Raw genomic sequence first — 17444 nt, 5'->3', positions numbered from 1 at the left:
CTCCCGGGTTCATGCCATTCTCCTGCCTCAGCTTCCTGAGTAGCTGGGACTACAGGCACCTGACACCATAGCAGGCTAATTTTTTGTATTTTAAGTAGAGACAGGGTTTCACCATGTTAGCCAGGATGCTCTCGATCTCCTGACCTCGTGATCCGCCCGCCTCGGCCTCCCAAAGTGCTGGGATTACAGGTGTGATCCACCGTGCCTGGCCTACATCATCTTTTTTTTTTTTTTGCTACTCCCCACCCTGTCACCTGCTTCTCCCCACTGTCTTCCCATCCTCTTCTCCCCACCATCTCCTTTTCATTCTTCTCCCCAAGGCTGTCTTTCCAGCCCCTCTGCATGCCCCTTTTCCCCACCCTCTCTCTCCACTATTTTCTCCCAGCCCCTTCTCCCCCAACAACCTGGTTTTTTGTTTTGTTTTGTTTTCCTGAAACAGAGTCTCACTCTGTCGCCCAGGCTGGAGTGCAATGGCATGATCTCAGCTCACTGCAACCTCTGCCTCCCGGGTTCAGGCGATTCTCCTGCCTCAGCCTCCCGAGTAGCTGGGATTACAGGCATGCACCACCATGCCTGGCTAAATTTTTTTGTATTTTTACTAGAGACAGGGTTTCACTATATTGTCCAGGCTGATCTCAAACTCCTGAGCTCAGAAAATCCACCCGCCTCGGCCTCCCAAACTGCTAGGATTACAGGCATGAGCCACTGCACCCGACCGTTTTTTTTTAAAGCTATTATTACTCTTTCTTTGTTTCTTTGGTTTTTTTTTTTTGAGACGGAATTTCAGTCTTGTTGCCCAGGCTGGAGTGCAATGGTGCAATCTCAGCTCACTGCAACCTCCACCTCCTGGGTTCAAGCGATTCTCCTGCCTCAGCCTCCCGAGTAGGTGGGACTACAGCCGTACACTACCATGCCCAGCTAATTTTTGTATTTTTAGTAGAGATGGTGTTTTGCCATGTTGGCCAGGCTGGTCTCAAACTTCTGACCTCAGTTGATCTACCCACCTCGGCCTCTCAAAGTGCTGGGATTACAGGCGTGAGCCACTGCACCTGGCCTCTTTTTTTTCTTAAATACAGTTTTCCTTCCATTTAAAAATACAAGTACAAATTTTTACCTATTAAACTTCATGTTTCAGCTTCTTAATTAAAACATGTTAGTCTGAAACAAGCTGATTAACAAATGGGCAAAGGACTTGAGTAGACATTTCTTCAAAGAGGATAAACAAATGGCCAATAAGCAAATGAAAAGATGCTCAATATCACTAATCATAAGGGAAACACAAACCAAAACCACAATGAAACACCACCTCTCACCCATTAGGATGCCTGCTATCAAAAAATAGAAAATAATACATGTTGGCAAGGATGTAGAGAAATTGGAGCCCCCGTGCACTGCTGTAGAAAACAATAGGGCAGTGCCTCAGAACATTAAACACAGAATTACCCTTTGATAGAATCCAGCAAGTTCCCTTCTGAGTACAGAAAAGAATAAAAAACAGACTCGGCCAGGCGCAGTGGCTCAGGCCTGTAATCCCAACACTTTGGGAGGCAGAAGTGGGTGGATCACCTGAGGTCAGGAGTTTGAGACCAGCCTGACTAACATGGCGAAACCCCATCTCTACTAAAAAAAAAAAATTACAAAATTAGCCAGGTGTGGTGGTGCGTGCCAGTAATCCCAGCTACTAGGGAGGCTGAGGTAGGAGAATTGCTTGAACCAGGGAGGCAGAGGTTGCAGTGAGCTGAGATTGAGCCATTGCACTACAGCCTGGGCAACAAGAGTGAAACTCTGTCTTAAAAACAAACAAAAACAAACAAACAAAAAAGACTGAGACTCAAAGATATATTTATACACCCATGTTCATAGCAGCAGTATTCACAATAATCAAAAGGCAGAAGCAACCCAAGTGTTCATCAACAGATGAATGGATTATTCAGCCTTAAAAAGAAGGAAATTCTGACAAATGCTGCAACACAGACGAACCTTGAGAACGTTACGCTAAGTGAAATAAACCAGCCTCAAAAAGAAAAGCTGAGGGCAGGCAGAGCGCGGTGGCTTATGCCTGTAATCCCAGCCCTTTGGGAGGCCAAAGCGGGCGGATCAGGAGGCAAGGAGATCAAGACCATCCTGGCTAACATGGTGAAACCCTGTCTCTACTAAAAATACAAAAAAGCCGGGCGCGGTGGCGGGGGCCTGTGGTCCCAGCTACTGGGGAGGCTGGCAGGACAATGGCGCGAACCTGGGAGGCGGAGCTTGCAGTGAGCCGAGATCAGCCACTGCACTCCAGCCTGGGGGACAGAGCGAGACTCTGTCTCCAAAAAAAAAAAAAAAAAAAAGAAAGAAAGAAAAGCTGAAGGCAGACTTTGGCCCTTTATAAGGAGAAATATTTAAATAATTAGACTTGTCCAAGAGTGTCATGGATCGCGTTGTGAAGTAATGAGTTTGCCATCCCTGGGCATAATAAAGAAAATCTTACATGATCATTGGTTTGCGACATTGTGGAAGGAATTCCTGGCTTGAGAGGAAAGCTGTTTATGCTAAAACAAGGTGGTGGGTAAGCGGGGGAGGGGGGAGCGGGGGCGGGGCTTGTCTTGAAAGAATCAGTCACTTTATATATATATATAATCAAAATAAATATTTTATATATATAATAAAAATAAATTATATAGTTTCAAATAAACAGAAGGAGGGTATTGAAACTTCCCAATACAAAGATGTGATAAAGGTTTGAGATGAAGGATATGCTAATTACCCTGATCTGATCACTAAAGATTCTGTGTACCAAAACATCACCAGCCAGGCGCGGTGGCTCATGCCTGTAATCCCAGCACTATGGGAGGCTGAGGCAGGTGGATCACGAGGTCAGGAGATCGAGGCCATCCTGGCTAACACAGTGAAACCTGTCTCCACTAAAAATATAAAAAAATCTTTGCCGGGCATGGTGGCACATGCCTGTAGTGCCAGCTACTCAGGAGGCTGAGGCAGGAGAATTGCTTGAACCCGGGAGGCGGAGGTTGCAGTGAACCAAGTTTGCGCCACTGCACCCCAGCCTGAGCAACAGAGTGAGACTCTGTCTCAAAAAAAAATTAATTAAAGATAAATAAAGGTATGACTAAATAAAACAAAATACAGCAAAATAAAATAAAACAAAACAAGGCTGGGTGAGGTGGCTCAGGCCTGTGGTCCCAGCTACTTGGGAGGCTGAGGTGGAAGGATCACCTGAGCCCGGGAGGTCAAGACTGCAGCGAGCTATGATGGTGCCACTGCACTCCAGCCTGGGTGACAGAGTAAGACCCCGTCTCAAAAAATAAAATAAAATAAAATAAAATAAAAGAGAGAACAAAACAAAATAAAATAAAAATAAATTGCCTAAGGGGCTTTAAAACTTCTCCCCATTCAGAGTATGTGTTTTTGTTTTTGTTTTTGTTTTTGTTTTGAGACAGAGTCTAGCTCTGTCGCCCAGGCTGGAGGGCAGTGACGCGATCTTGGCTCACTGCAACCTCTGACTCCCGGGTTCAAGAGATTCTCCTGCCTCAGTATCCAGAGAAGTTGGGATTACAGGCTCCCGCCACTATGCCCAGCTAATTTTTTTTTTTGCATTTTTTGTAGAGACGGGGTTTCACTGTGTTGGCCAGGCTGGTCTCGAACTCCTGATTCAGAGTATGATCTTTAAGAGTCTTTGACAAACATTTTTTCCCCCTACAACATTGTTCTCTGCGTTATTAAGAACTTCGGTGATGCAGCATTTATTAAAAGAGTGTTCTAAGCCTGGGCAACATTGGAAGACTCCATCACTACAAATTTTTTTTTTTTTAATTTCCTGAGCATGGTGGTGCACACCCATAGTCCCAGCTACTTGGGAGGCTGAGGAAGGAGAATTACTTGAGCCCAGGAGGTTGAGGCCGTAGTGATCTCTGATTGCTCCACCGCACTCTAGCCTTGGCCACAGAGAGAGACCCTGTCTCTAAAAACAAAGATAAATAAATAAATAATAAAATAATGTTCTACTATTGTCTCCTAAATTTCCTTCCAAGTCCCTGATAGCAGCTATTTAAGCTGTGATAGTAACACTTTCTTGATCTTACCATAAGGTGTTAAGAGAAGATTATCAGACAAAATCCAGGACTCATGTTCTTTCCTCAAATGGACCTTAAAATGGCTTCTTGGCAGAGCCATCTGGGGCTGCAGTTTTCCATCCTGCCAATCGGAAAATCAACCAAGTTCACATATGTTGATAGCATATGGCAATTGTCATGACTGTACCTGGCCAACAGCAGTGACAAGGCATCATCTATTGGAAGATGCTTCTGATTTAAAAAGATGTTACAAGTGTAAAAAAAAAAAAAGCGTGTTTAAGAATCAATGAAACATGGGCATTTCTTTATGTGTGTAAGTTACCCAGATCTGATTTCTGTTCACCAAGAACCTTGACTGGTACACTTCCTAACTTACACATTCAAATTTAACATTCAGAATATGTAACGTCCTAAAATCGAACTCATTTTGGGACTAGGTGCTCAGGAGGCTCTACAGTGTGCCCACCCCATCCCTTCCCCATTCTACCATCTAAGGCAGGACTCCTGGTTGTCAGCTGGGTCCCCTTCTCCATCTCGAGGGGACCCTGTGGAGCCAGGTCACCGCTCAGCTTACTCAGACAGATGCATCAAACGGCTCTGCCAGCTGATGAGGCACAGGGGATTTGGGCTTCTTGCCTACATTCTCATCTAGGGAATTTTGGGAAAATTTCAATCATTGATCAACTTCTGGCTTGGGACAATTGCTGGATACTGAGTGATAACCATTGACTAATTCCTCTGTCACTTTTCATTTGAAACTCTCATTCTTTCCTGACTTTTGGAACGTCCATTTTTCAAGGATGTCTAGAAAAATCATGACTCACGTTTTCCCTTGGGGGCCTGATGGCAGCACCAGTTCAGACTAAGCCATTTGGAGGGCCAAGTGTCTTATGTCCATATCATCTGATACAAGATGCCTGGAGGGTTAGCACTTGCTCATCCTGGGACTGCTGGCCGCACTGCTATGATACAGGACATTGAAGATCAAGGCGAAAGCTGTTTAACGCTTTACCAACATACTTACAGCTAAGTCATTTGATAGTTCTCACCAATAAAAAGGCAACCACACAGAATGTAATTAATGCATATGCACTGGATGAGATAGCTCATTTTGCTGTCATTTTATCCTAAGAGAGATCTAGACAAATGCTTCCGATTAGAAGAGGCTCATGATACTTCTCCGTGGGTCAAGATTTGTAAGTAAGTATCTCTTCGTTTGTTTATTTATTTATTTATTTATTTTTGAGATGGAGTCTCGCTCTGTTGCCAGGCTGGAGTGCAGTGGCGTGATCTTGGCTCACTGCAACCTCCGACTCCCTGGTTCAAGCGATTCTCCCACCTCAGCCTTCCAAGTTGCTGGGATTACAGGCATGCGCCACCATGCCTAGCTAATTTTTTTGGGTTTTTTTGTATTTTTAGTAGAGACGGGGTTTCACCGTGTTAGCCAGGATGGTCTTGATCTCCTGACCGTGTGATCCGCCCGCCTCAGCCTTCCAAAGTGCTGGGATCACAAGCGTGAGCCACCACACCCGGCCTCTTTGTTTGTTTATTAATCTTCTAGAAATACATAGTGACTATTTTATTCTTATTGGTTCATATCAACAGTAAGAGTAGCCCTGGCACAGTGGCTCATGCTGGTAATCCCAGCACTTTGGGAGGCCAAGGCAGGAGGATCATTCGAGGTCAGGAGTTCAAGACCAGACTGGGCAACATCATGGGACCCCCACCTCCACAAAAAATTTTAAAAATTAGCTGGGCATGATGGTGCACACTTGTAATCTGAGCTACTCAGGAAGCCAAAGTAAAAGGATCGCTTGAGCCCAGGAGTTTGAGGCTGCAGTGAACTGTGATCACACCACTGCACTCCAGCCTGAAAAAGCCCTGTAAGTGTGGTTGCTGTAAGGGAGAATATGGTTAGGCTGACTTTTACATTTTCTTAGTGAAAGAGGCTGCTATTTAGGAATTTCAGCTCCTTCTCAGTCCTCCTGGAGCAGATTTTTCTCTAATCTGGGAAGAATCACCTATCGTGTATTAGGTAAATGTGTGCAGATAGGTACTGTATGCATAGAGGAAACATGTCCATGTTTTTGGTTTGACTAGGTTGCCCTGTGAAAGAATTTTTTTTTTTAAAGAAACTGGTAGATAAGAAAGAGGTAAATATATTTGTATAAGGACCAGGGATTTTCCTGCACAGTAAGAGACTAAAACCTGGGCCCTTTCTCTTTCTCTCTTTAAAAATAAACTTTTAAATTTCGGAATAATTTTAGATGTATAGAAAATTTGGCCAGGCCTGGTGGCTCACACCTGTAATCCTAGCACTCTGGGAGGGCAAGGCAGGAGGATTGCTTGAGCCCAGGAGTTAAAGACCAGCCTGGGCAACATAGTGAAACCCTATCTCTACCACAAAAAAAAAAAAAAAAAAAAAAAAAATTAAAAACTTAGCTGGGTGTGGTGGTGTGCACCTGTGGTCTTAGCTACTTGGAAGGCCAAGGCAGAAGGATCTCTTGAGCCCAGGAGTTTGTGACAAGCCTGAGTAACAGAGTGAGACCCTGTCTCTACAAAATTAGAAAAAAAGAAATGGAAGGAAAGAAGGAAGGGAGGGAGGGAGGGAGGGAGGGAGGGAGGAAGGGGAAAGAAAGAGAAAGAAAGAAAAAGAAAGAGAGAGAGAGAGGGAGGGAGGGAGAAAGAACATTTGCGAAGTTCCTATGTATTTCCCATCCAGTTTCAGTTTCCTTTAATGATTTCGCCCTACAAGAGCATGGTAGCTTTGTTAAAACTAAGCGACCAACACTAGTGCGTTACTCTGAACTAAATTCCCAACTGTATTCTGAGGTCACCGCTGTTCCACTTAGCGTCCTTTTTCTGTTCTGGGAGCTGCATTGCGTTCTGTCCTCACACCAGACTTTGTTTTTCATGACCTTGGCAGTTTCAGGAGAACTATGGACTCCTTCCCCTTGGAGACCCAACAGTATCAGAACTTCTTGAGGGACCGAGTGCCGTCTATAGGCAGGGAAAGCCCCAAGGGCTTCTCCGGGGAAGCGCAGTCTGAAGAAACGGAGCCCAGGCCTGGTGAGAGAGAGACCACCCAGGGCAGGGGGTGAAAGTCCCGCTTCATCTTCCTCCTCCTTAGAGCGGTGTGCTCGGGCGGCATCACACCCAGCCAGCGCGAGTGTGAACTCAAGTGCACGGGCAGCCTTGACCGGGCTGGAGCTGAGTGAGGGGTCACCCTGCAGTGGCTGTGATGGGGAGTGGTCCTCGCTGTGGGGTCACAGAGGAGCAAGGGCCAGTGCTGTGCTGTGGCTGCCCCAGGGCAGTTCTCAGCACTGACTCTGCGGCCGCAATGGCATCCCCACCCCTTCCCCTGCAGGCTGTTTGCACTGCAGGTTTGGCGCCTGCCTGCATCTGATTCCTACTTTGGGACAGGAGCCCATGGGCTGACGAGCACGTGGTGAGTTGAGTGATCACTCAGAAATAAACATGAGGTGGGGTGATGTAAGCCACGCTGGTGAAACGGGCCACACAGCTGTCATTTATGAGGTGCCTGCTGCTACACTGCAGCCTCATGATAACCTTGTGAAGCAGGTGTTAATAGTAACCCTCCAAAATCATAGACGAGCTGAGGGGAGACCAGTCCAGGTGGCTCCAGAGGGCAACAGCCTACTTGGCAAGAAGCTGACTAGCAGGCCCTACACACGGAAACTGGAGGCTGCGTCTAGAGGTCCGTCATTCTAAAAAGGTCATTTCCTAGTATTGGAGGTTCCCATAATTATGGCTTCACTTAAGTTCCCTCTGCACCCCCCAGCCCTCCACATACTGTGTTAATATGGGAGGGATGTCCCCTACTGGGTGCTTGCATGGTGAGTCCAACTAGCTCAGCCCATTTTGTGTTGCTATAAAAGAATACTTGAGCCTGGATAATTTATGAAGAAAAGAGGTTTATTTAGCTCATAATTCTGCTGGCTGAGAAGTTCAAGGGCATGGCCCTGGCTTCTGGTGAGGGCTTTTGTGCCACGTCACAACATGGCAGAGATGGTCAAAGGGAAGTGGACACGAGTGAAGAGGGGGAAAGCTGAGGAGTCTCCTGGCTTTATAGCAACCCGCTCTTATGGGAACAAATCCATTCCCATGTGAACTAATCCAGTCTCAGAGAGCCAGAACTCACTACCCTGAGAGCAGCACCAAGCCATTCCTGAGGGATCTGGAACCGAAATATCTCCCACCAGGCCCCCCCACCTCCCAAACGCCACCACACTGGGGATCCAATTTCAAATTGAGCTTTGGTGGGGACAAACAAACCATATCCAGACCATGGCACCAGCCACCCATGCCCAACCCAGCTCGTAGGTGGCACAAGGACAGGGGATCTTTGGAGTCTGTGGCCTTTCTCCCTGTGAGTTTCCAGATAAACACTATTCTTCATGTACACCTCATGGCCCCAGTAATGGGTGGATCTATGACCCTTTTCCACGAAGGACTCACAGAGAGAGGTTCATGAACTTACACAAGGTCTCACAGCTAGCAAATGGGATTTGAATGTGGGTTCCAAATGTCAAATTTCCTCATTCTTCTTTTTTTTTTTTTTAGACAGAGTCTCGCTCTGTTTCCAGGCTAGAGTGCAGTGGCGCAATCTTGGCTCACTGCAACTTCGACTCAGTGCAATCTTTGCTTCTCGGGTTCAAGCGAGTCTCCTGCTTCAGCCTCCCGAGTAGCTAGGACTACAGGTGTGCACCACCATGCCCAGCTAATTTTTTTGCTTTTTTTTTTATTTTGAGAAGGAGTTTCACTCTTGTTGCCCAGGTTGGAGTGCAGTGGCACAATCTTGGCTTGCCGCAACCTCTGCTTCCCGGGTTCAAGCGATTCTCCTGCCTCAGCCTCCCAAGTAGCTGGGATTACAGGCATGTGCCACCACGCCTGGCTAATTTTGTATTTTTAGTAGAGACGGGGTTTCTCCATGTTGGTCAGGCTGGTCTCAGACTCCTGATCTCAGGTGATCCACCCACCCTGGCCTCCTAAAGTGCCGGGATTACAGGCGTGAGCCATTACGCCTGGCCAATTTTTTTGTATTTTTAGTAGAGACGGGATTTCACCAGGTTGGCCAGGATGGTCTCAATCTCTTGACCTCATGATCTGCCCACCTTGGCCTCCCAAAGTGCTGGGATTACAGGTGTGAGCCACCACACCCAGCCTCCTGATTCTTACAAATGCCATCAGCTGCCCACTGCCTCTTATTTTTTGCAAAAAAAGTATAACACAATCTCTTATACTTTACAGCATTTCTTCATTCCAAGCCTGGATGTTGCTGAAATGTTGATATTACACAAAGCGTAAGTGGCTTTGTAGTATTGTGTAGATATTACACAAAGCGTAAGTGATATTACACAAAGCACCTAAGTGGCCCTTCAGAACAGCATGAACAGATTAAAGGCCATAGTGAATGGCTGTGACAAGTAAAATGACCGGCTGTTTTATGTCTTCTTGCCTTTGATCGGTTCTCCAGCAGCAGGGCAATGCCTCTGACCTTTGTGGTTTCCTAGTAGACCTGACTATCCCCTCCTCAGTGCTCCCCTGAGCTCTGTGGAGACTTTTTGTCAGGCTACCTGTAGTATGTTACTGAACTTAGTTGTTTATCTGGCTGTCTTTCTTTCTTTTTTTTTTTTTTTTTTGTGAGATGGAGTCTCTATCACTGAGGCTGGAGTGCAGTGGTGTGATCTCGGCTCACTGCAACCTCCACCTACCGGATTCAAGCAATTCTCCTGCCTCAGCTTCCCAAGTAGCTGGGATTACAGGCATGTGCCACCACGCCCGGCTAATTTTTTTGTATTTTTAGTAGAGACGGGGTTTCACCACATTGGCCAGGCTGGTCTCGAACTCCTGACCTTGTGATCCACATGCCTTGACCTCTCAAAGTGCTAGGATTACAGGCGTGAGCCACCACACCCAGCCATCTGGCTGTCTTTCTCTACAAAAGTTGATACTTGAAAATAAAGTCAAGTCTTATTCACCTTAGTCCCCTACCAGAGTGCACAGCACACAATAGGCATTCAACAGTTAAACTGTCCAGAAAAGTTATCCAAAACATGGAAATAAGGCAAAGGATGACTGCACGTCCCTTCCATGCCATGCCAGAGCGCATCTAATGGGCTCCCTCAAAGACTGTTAAGTTCTCTAAGAAATTGTACCTTTTGTTTAATTTATTATTTACTCTTGATCCAGGACTAAGAGTCTTTGAAGTTGCATGCTAACTGGCAGATTTTTGTGAGTATGCATGCCTATGATTTCTGTTCAGTAAAAGAGATAACTCCAAAGGTTGCAGTTTTATCACCAGTAGGGTATTAATCTGTTTTGTATCTAATGTAGCCATTGTATTCCAGCATGTCTTTCAAACACTCTGAACCAGCTTTATCATCCTGCTGGTACCCTTATGAACGAGTTAAAAAATCTTTGACATATGTTCACTTTATATTCATGTGAAAGTCATGCTTTAATTAAAAAAAATTACCCCAGGCAACATAGCAAGTCCCCATCTCTACGAAAAATAAAAATTAGCCAAGCATGGTGGTGCACATCTATAATCACAGCTACTTGGGAGGCTGAGGTGGGAGGACTGCTTGAGCTTAGGAGTTTGAGGCTGCAGGGAGCTATGATTGTGCCACTGCACTCCAGCCTGCACAACAGAGACCCTGCCTCTAAAAAATAAAAGTATGAATAAATATATACTTTGACAGCTTTTTTTGACAGTTTTGGAGGCCCCACCAGAATGTTCACGTGGATTTATCTGTCAGAATCAATTAAACTGTGGTGCACGAGAAATGCACATCATGGATTGTTTAGCCCTGGGCACATCTTTCTTTAGCTTCCAGAATGAATCCCAAGTGGAAATAGAACTTGTCCTTCATTGACTCTCTATGTTTTTTACTTTGTTTATGGTTCTTGGTCAAATCTGTTAGTCCTTTAATGGTTTGGGCTCTGATCCTTTTCACAGCTGGGTCCAGGGACTGGTGTATCGTGGACCACTGTATGTCAGCCTCTGTGAATAGAATGAGAACATTCTACATTTATATAACTATAGTTTGGACATGGCAAACAAATTTTTCCTCATTGGCAGCCGCAATATCTGACAATCTATTTTATGTTCTGACCATTTGGTAATCTCTGTTGAGATGCTGGTATCTATTCTCTTTTGGATAAGACATAACAGATAATCTGTTTTTGTTTACTTGTTCATCTACTTGTGACTCCAAATTAATTACGAAGATATCTTGTCATTTAGACTGATGAGTTTTTGTTTCTTTGCTTTTTTTCTTTTTTTTTTAAGACAGGATTTGGCTCTGTCACACAAGCTGGAGTGCAGTGGTGTGATCTCCTCTCCCTGCAGCCTCTACCTCCTAGGCTCAAGTGATCCTCCCATCTCAGCCTCCCGAGTAGCTGGGACTACAGACATGCCACCATACCAGGCTATTTTTTTTTTTAGAGATGGGGTCTTGCTATGTTGCCCAGGCTGTTCTCAAACTCCTGGCCTCAAGTGATCCTCCTGCCTCAGCCTCCCAAAGTGCTGGAATTCCAGGCATGAGCCAGCATGCCCGGCCCCTTTTTGCTTACTTCTGAACCCATGATTGATGCTGTAAAATTGAAGCTGTGAGAACTCTGGGTATTTAGCTGTAATGGAGAAAAGTCCTTACTTTTCTTTACGTGTGTCAAATATTTTCCTACCTCTGAAACATATTCAGAAATTAGGTGACAGTATCTTAAAATTGGAGTTCTGACCGGGCACGGTGGCTTACGCCTGTAATCCCAGCACTTTGGGAGGCCTAGGCAGGCAGATCACTTGAGGTGAGGAGTTCGAGGCCAGCCTGGCCAACATGGTGAAACCCCGTCTCTACTAAAAGCACAAAAATTATCTAGGCATGTCAGCACACACCTGTAGTCCCAGCTACTCAGAAGGCAGAGGTGGGAGAATGCTTTGAATCCAGGAGGTGGAGGCTGCAGTGAGCCGAAATCGTGCCACTGCACTCCAGCCTGGGCAACAGAGTGTGACCCTGTCTCAGAAAACAAAATAAATAAACAAATTGGCTGGGCATGGTGGCTCACGCCTGTAATCCCAGCACTTTGGGAGGCCGAGGGGGGTGGATCAAGAGGTCAGGAGATCGAGACCATCCTGGCTAACATGGTGAAACCCTGTCTCTGCTAAAAATACACAAAAATTAGCCCAGCATGGTGGCGGGCGCCTGTAGTCCCAGCTACTCGCGAGGCTGAGACAGGAGAATGGGGTGAACTGGAGAGGCAGGCTTGCAGTGAGCTGAGATCGTGCCACTGCACTCCAGCCTGGGTGACAGAGCAAGAGTCTGTCTCAAAAATAAATAAATAAACAAACAAACAAACAAACAAAATAGGAGTTCTCCTCTGATTTGTTTGTAGAGACTGATTAAGCACTTCCATAAATCTACTGTGCCCAGAATTCCCAGCAAATAAACAGAACTTCTAATATGTTAAAAGCCTTTTAAGAAAGCCTTTTAACGTCTGGGCGCAGTGGCTCACGCCTGTAATCCCAGCACTTTGGGAGGCCAAGGTGGGCGGATCACCTGAGGTCAGGAGTTCGAGACCAGCCTGACCAACATGGAGAAACCCCGTCTCTACTAAAAACGCAAAAAATTAGCCGGGCGTGATGGCAGGCACCTGTAATCCCAGCTACTCAGGAGGCTGAGGCAGGAGAATGGCATGAACCCAGGAGACGGAGCTTGCAGTGAGCCGAGATTGTGTCACTGCACTTCAGCCTGGGCGACAGAGTGAGACTCCGTCTAAAAAAAAAAACAAAAAACCTGCTAGCTCAGAAGCAATTTTCTATAAGAAACCAAGTTCACATAATCAAGGTGAATCCTTGGACAAATCAGGCTGGTTTAACATCTCATGGCAGAGAAGCAAGGCTTTTTTCTTTCTTCTTATTTCTGAGCCATAATTTAGTAGACTATGCATTTATAATGTGAAATGAAGCAATCTTTAAATGTTCTCACTGACCTCTCAGAATGCAGGACCAAATATTTCTAATGAATCTTTTAATAAGAGAATGTATCCTGATTTGGTTGATGTAACATAACCAGACAAAACAGTGCAAGAAAAGAAAATTACATGCTAAGCTCACTCATTCTGAGCTATTAAAGTTTATCCCAAAAATGCAGGGATGGTTTAACTCTGGGAAAAAATCTATAATGTGCCAGGCACAGGGGTGCATGCCTGCAGTTCCAGCTACTTGGGAGGTTGAAGCGAAAGAATCAGGAGTTTGAGGATGGCCTGGGCAGCATTGCAGGACTCCGTCTCTGGAAGAAAAAAACTCAACAAACTATAATGTAACTCACTAGATTAGTGGAATATAGGAGACCAACCAAATAGAACTGTCATTATCTGCAAGGTCAAAAGATGGTTTTTGTTTTGTTTTGTTTTGCTTTTGGAGACAGGGTCTCATTCTGTCACCCAGGCTGGAGAGCAGTGGCACCATCTCAGTTCACTGCAACCCCTGCCTCCTGGGTTCAAGCGATTCTCCTGCCTAAGCCTCCGAAGTAGCTGGGATTACAGGTGCCCCCCACCATGCCTGGCTAATTTTTATGTTTTTAATAGAGACGGGGTTTCACTGTGTTGCCCAGGCTGGTCTCGAACTCCTGACCTCAGGCAATCTGCCTGCCTCGGCCTCCCAAAGTGCTAGGATTACAGGCGTGAGCCACCGTGCCCCACAAAGAGTATTTCTTAATAAGATCAAGGGCTATACACGGGTGCTGGTTTTCACCATTTCTATTCAACACTCAATTAGGTCCTAAGCAGCATAATAAGGTAAGAAAAATAAATAAAGGAAATGAGTTTGAAAGGAAATAAAGAATGTCAAAATTCATAGAAAATGATTGTTTTCATAGAAAATCCAAAATAATCTACAAATAAAGTGTTGGGGTTAATGAAATAATTTAACAATGTTGCTGGACACAAAATCAAAATTAAAAAATCAGTTGCATTAATATAGTCCAGTTAGGGTATCAAAAAATTAGTTAGGAAATGTCATTTTGGCCAGGCCCAGTGGCTCACGCCTGTAATCCCAGCACTTTGGGAGGCTGAGGCATGTGGATCACTCGAGGTTGGGAGATGAGACTAGCCTGGCCAACTTGGCAAAACCCCATCTCTACTGAAAATACAAAAATTAGGCCGGGTGCGGTGGCTTATGCCTGTAATCCCAGCACTTTGGGAGGCCGAGATGGGTGGATCACCTGAGGTCAGGAGTTCGAGACCAGCCTGGTCAACATGGTGAAACCCCGTCTCTACTAAGAAAAATACAAAAATTAGCCGGACGTGGTGGCAGGAGCCTGTAATCCCAGGTTCTCGGGAGGCTGAGGCAGGAGAGTCACTTGAACCCGGGAGGCAAAGGTTGCAGTGAGTCAAGATCACGCCATTATACTCCAGCCTGGGGCACAAGAGAGAGACTAGGTCTCAAAAAAAAAAAAAAAAGAAAGAAAATTAGCTGGATATGGTGGCATGTGCCTGTCATCCCAGCTACTCGGGAGGCTGAGGCAGGAGAATCACTTGAACCTGGGAGGTGGAAGTTGCAGTGAGCTGAGATTGCCCCACTGCACTCCAGCCTGGGCGACAGAGCGAGACTCTGTCTCAAAATAAATAAATAAATAAAATGTCATTTTAAAACAATGCACTTACAATGCTTTAAGAATATGAAATAATGAATGAATCTAACAAAAAAATTGCAAGGTCTCTACAGAGAAACTTATAAAACTTTATTCAAGATGACCTAAATAAATTATGTTTGTGTATGGAAAGCCTGAATAGCAAAAGTTCTCCTCAAGTGGATTTCTACGGCCCATGCAGAAGTCCACCAGGGTCATGAAACCATAGAAATAGCATTACACACCCACCTGAACCGCAAAAATCCAGAAATCAGACAATAGCAAGTGGGGATGAGGATGTGGTGCAGTGGGAACCTTTATGCACTGATGCTCAGAGCATAAATCGCTACAACTATTTTGGAGCAAAATTTAGAAATGACAAGAAAGACTAGAGATGTGTTTATGACAAAGCAATTGCATTACTGCCGTCTACCTAAGAAATCCAGCACTTACACATGGGGACATACTGTGGAATGTTCACAGAAGCTGTATTGGTATTGGTAAAAAATTAGCCATCATCTAAATGCCCATCAAAACAAGTATGGCTGGGCATGGTGGCTCACGCCTGTAATCTCAGCACCTTGGGAGGCCAAGGACAGAGGATTACTTGAGCCCAGGAGTTTGAGGCCAGCCTGAGAAACATAGTGAGACCTCATCTTTACCAAAAATTAAAAACAACAACAACAACAACAACAAAAACAAACAAAAAAAAACTGGTGTGGTGGTGCAAGCCTGTAGTCCCAACCACCGGGGAGGCTGAGGTGGGAGGAGCTCTTGAGCCTGGGAGGTCCAGGCTTCAGTGAGCTATGATGTGCCACTGCACTTCCAGCCTAGGTCACATGAGATCCTGTCTCAGAGAAAAATAAAATGAGTATGAACAAATAAATGATGGCAGCTCCACAAATAGAATTCTAGACAGCAGTGAAAATGATTATACTGCTAAATGTAGATGACTCTCATAAACATGTTGGTTTTAAAAGTAACCTACAGAAGATTCCATACAATTATATCATTTATACAAATTTTATGCAAAACAATACCAGTGTTGCTTAGTGATACATACATATGGACAACAATTATAAACAAATGTGTTGGGATGATAAACATATAATTCAAAGTACCGGATACTTTTGAGTAGGAGGGAGATGCAATTAGGGAGGAGTATGCAGGAGATTTCAAACTTCATTAATAATATTTTATTTCTTGGCCAGGAGCGGTGGCTCACACATGTAATCCCAGCACTTTGGGAGGCCGAGGTGGGCGGTTCACTTGAGGTCAGCAGTTCGAGACCAGCCTGGCTAACATGGCGAACCCTCGTCTCTACCAAAAATACAAAAATTAGCCGGGCATGGTGGCATGAGCCTATAGTTCCAGCTACTCGGGAAGCTGAGGTGGAAGAATCACTTGAACCGGGGAGGCGGAGGTTGCAGTGAGCCGAGATCGCGCCACTGCACTCCAGTCTCCTGGGCGACAGAACGAGACTCCGTCTCAAAACAAAACAAAACAAAACAAACAAAAAACATCATAAATGTCAATGCGCACACCACCCAGCTTTAGAAATAATTTCCTCTGTCGCCCAGGAGGCAGTGGCGCGATCTCGGCTCACTGCAGCCTCCGCCTCCCAAGAGTTCAAGCGATTCTCTGCTGCAGCCTCCCGACTAGCTGGAAATACAGACGTGTGCCACCAGGCTAATTTTTAAAAATTATTTTCACAACAACCTCTGGTTCTAATATACCACATCTTATTCAGAATTTTTTCATTGCAAGGAACAGCCAGTAGGTGGCAGGGGAAGCTTGGTATTTGCTGTGTCTGACAAAACAACCTTCCCCCCAACCCGCAATCACATAAACGTAAGGCTTCCTTTAAAGTCACTGATCACATGTCACTTTCCAAAATAAAATGAATTAGCTAAAACCATTGCTTTCCTTATTCATGAATATTTGCATTCTGGTATTCATTGTTCCTAATAGTAACACTATGATCTTTTGAAACATTATTAAACTTTCCAGTGGGGCAACTGGTTTTTATCCCCTGGTGCCACTACAGCAATGCTTCTGTGAAACAGGCTGCCACCGCAGGTTCCGACAACAGGGTTATTGCAGCATGTGCATGGGGGTGCAGTGGGGGAGTGGGACTGCAAAAACGGCAGCCATCTCATGCCTGAGTTCCTACCCATCTCGCTGACCTTGGGTGCAGACCGTCAGGCACATTGCTGAAATCTGCTTTCACACTCACTCCTAAGAACGTTCTTATTTTCTATGGGGGGTGAGGGAGGTGGCAAATGCCACATAAATATCTTGCTTTATGTAGAGCAACTAAGCAATACAGACTAGCTCAGCAAAATGATCTGTCTGCATATTTTCCTAAATAAAACAGCAACCGAAGACATCTTCTATTTTCTGCTTAGGGCCGAATTAGAAAATTATTGCAGGCCGGGTGCGGTGGCTCACGTCTGGAATCCCAGTACTTTGGGAGACCGAGGCGGGCCGATCACTCGAGGTCAGGAGCTCAAGACCATCCTGGCCAACATGGTGAAACCCCACCTCTACTAAAAATACAAAAATTAGCCAGGCATGGTGGTGCATACCTGTAATCCTAGCTACTTGGAGGCTGAGGCATCAGAATCATTTGAACCTGGAAAGCAGAGGCTGCAGTGAGCTGAGATCACGCCACTGCATTCCAGCCTGGGCCACAGAGTGAAACTCCATCTCAGGAAAA

The 17444-nt window shown here is 45.3% G+C and overlaps 1 annotated feature.

Moving 5' to 3' along the window:
* Nucleotides 5355-5522: a silencer, noted in NCBI's record as "fragment chr8:42671563-42671730 (GRCh37/hg19 assembly coordinates)". NCBI's record gives its function as "represses an EF-1alpha promoter that drives an FKBP-Casp9 reporter gene in an ReSE screen in K562 erythroleukemia cells {active_cell/tissue: K562}" and the evidence as "EXISTENCE:reporter gene assay evidence [ECO:0000049][PMID:32094911]".

This window comes from Homo sapiens, chromosome 8 (genome assembly GCF_000001405.40).
Source record: "Homo sapiens chromosome 8, GRCh38.p14 Primary Assembly".
NCBI classification, from domain to species: Eukaryota; Metazoa; Chordata; class Mammalia; order Primates; family Hominidae; genus Homo; species Homo sapiens.
Note: the sequence above shows the minus strand (reverse complement) of the source record. Positions and strands in the feature narration are given on the sequence as shown.